We start from the raw sequence: 11,748 nt of genomic DNA on the forward strand, positions 1-11,748 counted from the left end.
TGTCACCCAGGCTGGAGTGCAGTGGCGTCATTTTGGCTCACTGCAACCTCGCCTCCTGGGTTCAAGTGATTCTCCTGCCTCAGCCTCCTGAGTAGCTGGGATTACAGGTGACCACCACCACACCCAGATAATTTTTGTATTTTTAGTAAAGACAGAGTTTCACTATGTTGGCCAGACTAGTCTTGAACTCCTGACCTCAGGTGATCCACCCACCTCAGCCTCCCAAAGTGCTGGGATTACAGGCGTGAGCCACCACACCTGGCCTATTTTAATATTTTCTAACTTAATACATAAATATAGAATATCTCTCAACATTGTTTTTTGTTTCTGTCATTTCCACTTTCTAGTTTTTGGTTGTCATCATCATTGATACATGAGCTTTTTAATTTATTTTTCACTCATCCAATATTTATTGTATCTCTGATAGGTACTTTTCTAGGCACCAAGGATGTATCTATGAACAGAAACAGAAAATACTTGTTTTGTGTAATTTCTAGTCAGGAGAGACAGAAAATAAATAAGTCATATAATATTTGAGAAGACACATTTGAAAAATATAAAAGCAGAGAAGAATAATGGGTAAGAATCTTGGCTGGGCACGGTGGCTCACACCTGTAATCCCAGCACTTTGAGAGGCTTAAGCGGGTGGATCACCTGAGGTCAGGAGTTCAAACAAGCTTGGCCAACATGGCAAAACCCCATCTCTACTAAGAAATACAAAAACTAGCCGGATGTGGTGGCAGGCGCCTATAATCCCAGCTACTAGGGAGGCTGAGGCAGGGAGAATTGCTTGAACCCGGGAGGTGGAGGTTGCAGTGAGCCAAGATCACGCCGCTGCATTCCAGCCCAGGCAACAGAGCTAGACTCCATCTCAAAAAAAAGAAAAGAATCTTTTTTTTTGAGACAGGGTCTCACCCTTTCATCCAGGTTAGGGTACGGTGACATGATCTCAGCTCACTGCAACCTTCGTCTCCCGCGATCAACCTTCGTCTCCCTCCTCAGCCTCCCGAGCAGCTGGACCTGTCTTTTAAGTCCACACTCCAATCCTTCCACCTCCAGCAATCTTTCCCCAGTTCTTTTAACCTTTGTTTTCTTGCTTTTTATATTTATGTTCTTTGACATAAGCTTTAACCTTTAGTTATCCAATTTTTGGTACCCAAATGAATACACAGGACTGGGTCTTAGACTTTTTTGGTAGCCCTTACAGGTTTAATAAAGTGGCACGTAGTGAATTTTAGTGAATTGATTGAATGAGAGAATTCTTTCTTTAGTGATAGGCATATTTCATTAATTCTGAGTTGCACATTTTTTCACATTTTAGCATCTGTGAAATGAGGATGCATTCTATAATCCATGGCTACATGACGATCATGATACAATTGTGACAGCCTCTGTAAAACATAGCCATAATTCCTTTGTCTTACCTAAGATAATTAACAGTAGTAATTCATAGTACTAATTATCTTACCTAAGATAATTAACAGTAGTAGTAGTATTGTCATCAAATTTCTGGGAGTCAAACTTTAAAAGATAGCCCAAATAATCAGTTATATCATAAATTCAGTTATTCTATATATTAACATATCCAGAGTCTGGGTGTTGTGGCTCATGCCTGTGATCTCAGCACTTTGGGAGGCTGAGGCAGGAGGATCAGTTGAGCCCAGGAGTTATTATGATGGCACCACTGCACTGCATCCTGGGTGACAAAGCAAGACGCTATCTCTAATAATAACATATCCAGATACTTTTACCAGTTGTTGTTACTATAAATTAGGTAATTCAAATTTTCCTAAAATTATATTAATAGTTTTTGCTGTTTTACAGAGTAAGCCATATCAAAGACTTCATTGAAAAATACCAAGGATCTCAAAGAAGTCCTCCGTTTTCCCTGGCAACAGCTCTTCCTGTCCTCAGGTTGCTAGATGAGACACTCACACTGGAAGAAGCAGATTTACAGAATGCTGTCATCATTCAGAGACTCCAAAAAACTGCATCTTTTAGAGAACTTTCAGAGCACTGATTTTTGATAGACTAAGTGGAAAATTTGCAGAGAAATGATGGTTGTAAGTGGACATGCAAACCAAAATTGGGGATTGGAGAAGTCAGACTCACTAGACTTTTGGTTCGAGTACTATTGAACTCTCTCCTGATGAGAAGATGTTTAGATAAGTACAAGTTAAGAAAGTAGCATATGACTGGAAACTATATTCAGTGCACTTTCTCCAAAAGACTACCCAGAAAAATAGACTTATTTTCAAATACCAGTTATCAAGATATATTAAATAGCTGTATTGTTTAGAATCTTAATATGGTATAAATTAGCATATGTATTCACAATATTCATTCAGACATCATTCCCAGACAGCAGGGATTTATTTAAATGTTAGCTGTCTGAGTTTTTAAATAGCTAATACGACCGGGTACAGTGGTTCATGCCTGTAATCCCAGAACTTCGGGAGGCCGAGACAGGCAGATCACGAGGTCAACAGATTGAGACCATCCTGGCAAACATGGTGAAACCCCATCTCTAGTAAAAATACAAAAATTAGCTGGGCGTGGCGGTGCGCAACTGTAGTCCCAGCTACTCGGGAGGCTGAGGCAGGAGAATCTCTTGAACCTGGCAAGTGTAGGTTGCAGTGAGCTGAGATTGAGCAACTGTACTCCAGCTTGGCGACAGAGCAAGACCCCCTCTCAAAAATAAATAAAATAAAGTAAAATAAATATAAATAATTGTGGCCGGGTGCAATGGCTCATGCCTGTAATCCCAGCACTTTGGGAGGCTGAGATGGGAGGATCACTTGAAGCCAGGAGTTTAAAACCAGAATGATCAACAGAGTGAGACCCCTGTCTATATATTTTTTTAATTTAAAAAATAAAAGAATAAAATTGTGTAGCTCAGTATAGTATCAAGATTAATCTGCCTACTCACATTTCTACACTTTATAAAAATGTAATAAAAGAAAATTATCTTTCTAAAAAGCCTATTCCCTTTCCATTTTATTTTCTTTCAAAAATTATGGATTTGTTTTTGGCTAACATTTGGGATTAGCCATTCATTTGCCACCACTCACTTAGAATATAATGCCGGTGTGTGTCACATTACTAGTATTTTTTAAATGCATCATATAAAGTATGGTTTTCTGTTTCTTTTTCGTTTGTTTGAGATGGAGTTTCGCTCTTGTTGCCCAGGCTGGAGTGCAGTGGCGCAATCTCAGCTCACCACAACCTCCACCTCCCGGGTTCAAGAGATTCTCCTGCTCAGCCTCCCAAGTAGCTGGGATTACAGGCATGCGCCACCATGCTTGGCTAATTTTGCATTTTTAGTAGACACGGGATTTCACCATGTTGGTCAGGCTGGTCTCGAACTCCCGACCTCAGGGGATCTGCCTGCCTAGGCCTCCTGAAGTGCTGGGATTACAAGTGTGAACCACCGTGCCCAGCTGGTTTTCTGTTTCATACATCAGAGTCAACTTGTGAATACATTTAAAGATTATTTCATTTTGATATCACGAAGAAAAACAGGCTTTATATCTCAGACTTTAACTAAATCCAGTTAGACCTCAATTTTTCACTGTCAGATTAAATCCCCATACCTGAAAATAAGTTTAACATTTTTTTTTGCAAATGATCTATTGAATCAGATTTAAAATGAAGCATGCATTGAGTGTGCCAAGGAACTAAGTGGTCCATAGCAGCAGTAATGTTCATAGGGTGCGAGATGCCTGCTATGAAACAGCAACTCTCAAACATTTTTATCTCAAGACCATTTGTTTATGTGAGCTATATATATTATTATATTAAATATTAAATTTTTAAAATATTTATTTATGGGCCAGGCACGGTGGCTTACGCCTGTAATCCCAGCACTTTGGGAGGCTGAGGCAGGCGGATCACAAGGTCAAGTGATTGAGACCATCCTGTCCAACATGGTGAATCCCCGTCTCTACTAAAAATACAAAAAAAATTAGCTGGGTGTGGTGGCATGCGCCTGTAGTCCCAGCTACGTGGGAGGCTGAGGGAGGAGAATGGCTTGAACCCGGGAGGTGGAGGTTTCAGTGAGCCGAGATTGCGCCCCTGCACTCCAGCCTGGTGACGGAGCGAGACTCTTTCTCAAAAAAAAAAAATTATTCATTTAAAAATAACTTCTGGCTGGACATGGTGTCTCACGCCTGTAATCCTAGCACTTTGGGAGGCCAAGACAGGTGGATCACTTGAGCCCAGGAGTTTGAGACCAGCCTGGGCAACAAGGCAAAACTCTATCTATAAAAATTACAAAAATTAGTGCAGTAGCTCACACCTGTAATCCCAGCACTTTGGGACACTAAAGCGGGCAGATCACCTGAGGTCAGGAGTTCGAGACCAGCCTGGTCAATGTGGTGAAACCATGTCTGTACTAAAAATACAAAAATTAGCCTGGTGTGGTGGCACATGCCTGTAATCTCAGCTACTAGGGAGGCTGAGGGAGGAGAATTGCTTGAACTCAGGAGGCAGAGGTTGCAGTGAGCCGAGATTGCGCCACTGCACTCTAGCTTAGGCAACAGAGTAAGACCCTGCCGTAATAATAATAACTTTTTTTTTTTTGAGATAGAGTTTTGCTCTTTCCCCCAGACTAGAGTGCAATGGCGCGATCTTGGCTCACTGCAACTTGTCCCCCCGGGTTCAAGCGATTCTTCTGCCACAGCCTCCCGAGTAGCTGGGATTATAGGCGCCCACTACCACGCCTGGCTAATTTTTGTATTTTTAGTAGAGACGGGGTTTCGCCATGTTGGCCTGGCTGGCCTCTAACTCGTAACCTCAGGTGATCCGCCCGCCTTGGCCTCCCAAAGTGCTAGGATTATAGGCGTGAGCCACTGTGCCCAGCCAATAATAACTTATAAAACATGAAACGATTTAGTGAGAAAAGTGGCCGGTTTTTTGGGGGGAATTACTTTCTGTCATAAAGAAGATAGATGGGTTCTCATGTCTTCTACATTCAGTCTGTTGTGCAGTCACATATCATGTAGACTCTGGAAAACACCTCTGTATACTGGTGAAAGAATGAAAAGAAGCAAATAATGCCTTAGTATGATTATGAAAAACGTTTTGACTTCACAGTGCCCTGAATGGGTCTTGGGAATCTCCAGGGATCCCTCAGGCACACTTTGAGAACCAATCTATATAAAGTGATGGTTCACAATGATTCTGAAGCCTTAGTTTCAGAATCATTTGGGGCAGCTTTTCAAAAATGCCATTCCTGCCACCTACCACAAAGATTCTGATTCACTGTATCTGTGATGGGTCTCAGATCTCTGCATTTTTAATCTCACGTGATTCTTAAGTATGTGGTGGAAGTACCTTTCTTCAGGAAATTCTGTCCTAAGCTTTTACCCTGAGAAAATAAAACCTGCATGCTTTCACCATGGACGGTGGGAGACTCCACTGAAACACATCTGCTAGACCACTAAGTTTATCCTTGTCACCCAGTTTGCTCTTGGAAAGAGTCTGTTCCCTTTTGTCACTGAACCAATCATGACATAAACTTGTGCTTTACCTCCTATAGCACAGCCGAGACAAGGCTGGAACATTTAATTAAGGTTTTTACTAAGGACTCAGGAATAACAACAGGGAAATATCTATGTAACTAGATGACCTGACATAAAATCTATCTTCTGATTGCAGTCTATTGTGAGAATGCTGCTTTTCCTAGCTCCCAGCCTTCCATGGGGCAGAAGGCTCTTTTAATTAGGAAGAGAGGGAGGACAAAGGAGAGCCTTTTCTTTTGTCCATTACTCTTAGAAATGAACAGGTACATAATAGAAAATAAATAATTATTGTTGGTAATGTTTACACAGCAGTGTTAGAGCCTCTCTGTAGTGAAACAAAAATAATGTTCTTACCAAAAAAAAAAAAAAAAAAAAGAGGCAATGATAAAATCAATGAGCTTATCTTTCTGATATAGAAAATAACAGGATGACAGTTAATACATGTTCAGGAATCTAAGAAAATGTTTCATATAGGCCTATCATGTAGCATTTTTATTTGCATAATTATAGTCAACATATGATTCTCCATGTAGGGGTCTCTCATTGAGAATGTTTCCTGTGTACCTATAGAAAAGCCTCTTTGGTAGATTTTCCGGTTTATAATTATTTAACCAGAAGATACATGGGAGGTTCTTTTGTATGTACCTGTAGAATACATCCCAGTAAGGGTCCTATGGAGAAAGACCTGTTGTCATCAATAACCTTCATTATTCTAACTGTGAAACGTTCATTAATGCGAATAATATCCTCAAAGATTTTCTACAATGAGAATCATCCAGTAAAGCTTTTTAACTGAGAATTTAAAAGTTGTAAAATTGTTAGTTAAATGTGTATAATTATCAAAAGAGGTTGACTTTGGAAAACAAACAATTTGCTAAGGGAAGGAAAACTTGAAAATAATCACCTTAGATGGGGCATACAATTTGACCTAAGCAATTGTTTCAAAACTGTCTTCAGTTTCTTGAAAATAATTGTTAGGGCTGATATATAGAAATACATATCTAGGCCAGGCACGGTGACTCATGCCTGCAATCCCAGCACTTTGGGAGGCTGAGGTGGATGGATCACGAGGTCAAGAGATCGAGACCATCCTGGTCAACATGGGGAAACCCCGTCTATACTAAAAATACAAAAATTAGCTGGGTGTAGTGGTGTGCGCCTGTAGTCCCAGCTACTCAGGAGGCTGAGGCAGGAGAATCACCTGAGCCCCGGAGGCAGAGGTTGCAGTGAGCCGAGATCGTGCCACTGCACTCCAGCCTGGGCAACAGAGCGAGACTCCGTCTCAAAAAAAAGAAAAAAAGAAATACATATCTAATGTTACAGATTGTGGTTTATTGGTTAATTACTATGCATTTTTTTCAGTTTAAAAAATAATCTTATTTTATATACTTCTCTCGGTATAATTTTTCATGACATTTCAGCATGTTGATAATATGTGTGCATCTATTTCAGTGCCTTAAAGTATTTTGAGAGCAATCTTTTGCTGACAGTTGAAGAACTGTTAATGAAATACTGTTCATTAAAAGGATCTGTGAAATCATTTACCCTTGTTATAAAATAGTTATATGCAAATACACTTGTCATTTTATTTGGCAAAGTCATTCAGTTTGATAATCAACAAACATTTATTAGGTGCTTTTGCTTTAACCAACATTACTTTCATTTAATACTCAGAAATGTAAAGATGTGCTATTTTTGAATACTAACTCAATGATATGTTTAATTTTTCATTTATTCTTTGTGTTATCAGCTGAACTAGCATGAAGACTCTTTAGTAGGGTTTACTCCTTTGTTCTTTTCCTAAGTACAAACCATTTTATGAAAAAATTGCTCATTGCACTAAACCTTCAGATGGAAATGGCTTATTCAGTAGACCAGTATTTGGCTTTGTCATTTGTTTTAATGTATTTTTTGCACAGATAATTTATATTCATTATAGAAAACTATAATATGCAGATATGCTAAAATGATCCTTAAATCACCTATTATTCTGCCTTTCACATATAACCACTACTGGTCCTAGTGGTGCATGCCTGTTGTCCCAGCTATTCAGGAGACTGAGGCAGGAGGCTCGCTTGAGCCCAGAAGTTCTGGGGTATAGTGTGCTCTGCCAGTCGGTCAGGTGTCTGCACTAAGTTTGGCATCAATTTGGTGATCTCACTGGAACGGGGGACTACCAGGTTGCCCATTGGAAAAGGAGCAAGAACGAATGCTGATCAGTAGTGGTAGTACACCTGTGAATAGTTTAAAAAGTGAAAAAAAAAAAAGCCAGGCGCAGTGGCTCATGCCTGTAATCCCAGCAGTTTGTGAGGCCGAGGTGGGCTGATCACAAGATCAGGAATTCCAGACCAGCCTAGCCAACATGGTAAAACCCCGTCTCTATTAAAAATACAAAAATTAGCCAGGCATGGTGGCACGCGCCTGTAATCCCAGCTACTCGGGAGGCTGAGGCAGGAGAATCGCTTGAACCCAGGAGGCAGAGGTTGCAGTGAGCCGAGATCATGTGGCTGCACTCCAGCCTGAGCGACAGAGCAAGATTCTGTCTTGAAAAAAAGAAAAAGAAAAAAGTAAAAAATAAAAATTAGAAATTAAAAACTACTAGTAACATTTTGATGTGCATCCTTTCAGATATTTTTTAGTATATCAGCTTTTAGTCTTGTTTTAATTAAAAGGCAGCTGCCTTTGTTATTTAATCCTACTTTATTGAAATCTAATTTGTCTTTTGCATTAAAAATTACATTATGAACTTACCATCACTTTAAATAGAATACTGACTGTTAGGGAAATGACTTTTATTATAATTACATTTTTTGCTGTCCAAAAGAGTTATTGTTTAATTTTTTTTTTTTTTTTGAGATGGAGTTTCACTCTTGTTGCCCAGGCTGGAGTGCAATGGTGCGATCTCAGCTCACTGCAACCTCCACCTCCCAGGTTCAAGCGATTCTCCTGCCTCAGCCTCCCAAGTAGCTGGGATTACAGGAGCCCGCCACCACGCTTGACTAATTTTATGTTTTTTTAGTAGAGACGGGGTTTCGCCATGTTGGTCAGGCTGGTCTTGAACTCCTGACCTCAGGTGATCCACCCACCTCAGCTTCCCAAAGTGCTGGGATTACAGGTGTAAGCCACTGTGCCCAGTCATTTTTTAATTTTTAAAATTGTTTTTACCTGCTGCCTTTCAAACTTAAAATTGCAGTAGTATAAACAACAAAGTACAAGTGTTGAGAATGCAATATTTCCAAACCTTTTAAAAATGCGTATCAGTAGGATGTACTTGAAAGTAGATTGATTATCTAGCTGAACACAGTGGCTCACGCCTGTAATCCCAACACTTAGGGAGGCAGAGGCAGGAATAAAGCTTGAGCCCAAGAGTTCGAGACCAGTCGGAGAAACATAGCAAGATCCTATTCTCCACAGAAAGGAAAAAAAAAAAAAACCCACAAATTGTAAAAGTAGATTATCTAAAGAAACTTTGGCTTTAGTTTATATTTAATTTCCAAGGAATTAAATATTTAGCACATGCATTATCTAATCTATCCTTGTATTTGCAATCAGGGAAACAAAATGTACCCATTTTGTAGATTAAGGAATTAAGACATATAAAATGGAATGACTTGCTCTAAACTGGGTAGTGTATCCTTTAGGATTAGATTTAGCTGTGACAGAAAATCCAGAATAATAGTTGCTTACAAGGTCAAATTTTATTTCCCATGCAAAAGTCCAGAGGGAAGCAGTTCAGGGCTGGTAGATCAACCTCATAAAATCATCAGATTCCTGTACTGTTGATCTGCCAATCTCATCACTCTGTAGACTTGGGGTCTCAGGGTAGCTGCACTAGCACCAGCCGACACATTTGTATTTCAGCCAATAGGAAGAAGCAGATATCTTTCCTTTTAAACAGCTTTATTGAGATGTAATTCACATGCTGTGCAATTCACCCATTTAAAGTATACAATTCAGGCTAGGCCGATGGCTCACTGTAATCCCAGCACTTTGGGAGGCCGAGGTGGATCACCTGAGGATCAGGAGTTCAAGACCAGCCTGGCCAACATGGTGAAAGCACATCTCTACTACAAATACAAAAATTAGCCGGGAGTGGTGGCACATGCCTGTAATCCCAGCTACTCGGGAGGCTGAAACAGGAGAATCACTTGAACCCGGGAGGTGGGGGTTGCAGTGAGCCGAGATCGTGCCCCGGCATTCCAGCCTGGGCAACAAGACTCTGTCTCAAAAAAATAAATAAATAAAAATAAAGTATACAATTCAATGGTTTTTAGTGTATTTATAGGGTTGTGCAACCATCACAATTTAACTTTAGAAAATGTTTGTCCATTCTAAAACCTCACATGCCTTAGCAGTAACTCCCTAGCCCAGTCCCAAGCAACTACAAATGTACATTCTGTCACTCTCTATTTGCCTATTCTAGACATTTGACATAAATGGAATAATACAATTTGTAGTCTTGTGACTGGCTTCTTTTACTTAGCATACTGTCATCAAGGTTCATCTGTGTTGTAGCATGCATTGGTCCTTCATTCCTTTTTCTTGCCCAACAGTAGTCCATTGTATGGATATACCACATTATATTTATTCATTCATAACCTGATGGACATTGGCTTGTGTCCTCTTTGGCATATATATATACACACACACATTATATATATATGTATATATATATGAATGCTGCTAATGAACATTCATGTTCAAGATTTTATGTGAACATGTTTTCATTTCTGTAGGGTGTATACACCTAAGAGTGGAATTGCGGGTCATGTGGTAATTCCACGTTTTACTTTGAGAAACTGCCAAACTTTTCCAAAGGACTGTCACTAGTTTCCATTCCCACTAGCAGTGTATAGGGGTTCTGATTTCTCCACATCCTCCCCAATACTTGTCTCATTTTAATTACAGCCACCCTGTGGATATGAAATGGTGTCTCACTGTAGTTTCGATTTGTATTTCCATGTGCTTACTGTTCATTTGTATATCTTTAGAGAAATATCCAAATTCTTTGCCCATTTTAGAATTGGATTGTCTTTTAATTGTTGAGTTGTGAAAGTTGATTCCAATACAAATCCCTTTTCTCCCATTCTGTGGGTTGTCTTTATACCCACTTGTTGGAATCGTTTACAGCACAAAGGTTTTCATTTTGAAAACTTTTGTAGTTCATCCAGCTTGTGCTTTTGGCGTCCTAAGAAACAATTGCCTGGCCCAATATGATGAAGAGTTGCTTCTGGGTTTTTTGTGTTTGGTTGGTTTTGTTTTTGTTTTTGTTTTTGAGACAGAGTCTCCCTCTGTCACCCAGGCTGGAATGCAGTGGCACGATCTTGGCTCACTGCAATCTCCGCCTCCCGGGTTCAAGCGATTCTCCTGCCTCAGCCTGCCGAGTAGCTGGGATTACAGGCATGAGCCACCGTGCCTGTCCCTTGCTCCTGTTTTTTCATAAGTTTTACATTCTAGGTCTATGATGCATTTTTAGTTAATGTGTACCCCTGTTACTGGTGGAAGGTATCTGAGTCACGTGGCACCAAAATATGTCAGCAGGAGTGAATCTATATGGGTCTGCAGCAACCTCAGTTCCTGCCTCCTCAGAAGAAAGAATTCCACTGAGGGGCATAAGGCAGAAGGAGAGACTGAGGCAAGTTTTAGAGCAGGAATAAAAGTTTATTAAAAAGCTCTACAGCAGAAATGGAAGGAAGGAAAGTACACTTGGAAGAGGGCCAAGCGGGTGACCTGAAAAAGAAGCGCACAGTTTGACCTTTTGACCTGGGGTCTTATGCATTGGCATACTTCTGGGGTCTTGCATCCCTTCTCCCCTGATTCTTCCCTTGGGAGGCCTGCCTGCATGGGCAGTGGTCTGCCAGCACTTGGGAGGGGAGTGTGCACACTGTGTATACTGGAGTTGTACCCATGCTCACTGGAGGCGTTCTTCCCTTACCAGTCCGGTGTCCTTCGAGGGTCACATGTCAGTTAAACTCCGCAATTTGTGTAAGCCCACTTGCCCAGCTCCTGAGATCTTACCGAGAAGCTGATCACCAGTTTCAGGTTTTCTCTATCTATTGGGAGACTGCCTTTCCCTGGCCCCGCTGGATCAATGATCATTTTAGAGGGAGCATAACAACCGCCTGACTGTCGCCTGATGGTTGCCTGACGTACCTGGTTGGAAGCGTGGCCCTCTCCTGCCCTTTTCGAGGCTGACTAGCTACCTGCTGTCACCCCCCTTCCCTTT

The 11,748-nt window shown here is 40.7% G+C and overlaps 1 protein-coding gene across 9 annotated transcripts in view; it reads left to right on the forward strand.

Annotated features, from left to right (window-relative positions):
- Positions 1-7,062, forward strand: part of UBXN2A (UBX domain protein 2A) — a 77,632-nt gene extending 70,570 nt beyond the window's left edge. For 8 of the 9 annotated variants that reach the window (XM_005264168.6, XM_011532633.4, XM_005264166.6 and 5 more), the window contains one exon: positions 1,825-7,062. In XM_005264168.6, coding sequence (XP_005264225.1) covers positions 1,825-2,020 — 196 coding nt within the window. In that variant the 3' untranslated portion in view covers positions 2,021-7,062. Of the gene's footprint in view, positions 1-1,807 lie in introns of all 9 variants that reach the window. The other variant, XM_017003517.3, reaches the window with a different exon arrangement.
- Positions 7,063-11,748: the final 4,686 nt, after the last annotated feature.

This window comes from Homo sapiens, chromosome 2, assembly GCF_000001405.40.
Source record: "Homo sapiens chromosome 2, GRCh38.p14 Primary Assembly".
Taxonomy (NCBI): domain Eukaryota; kingdom Metazoa; phylum Chordata; class Mammalia; order Primates; family Hominidae; genus Homo; species Homo sapiens.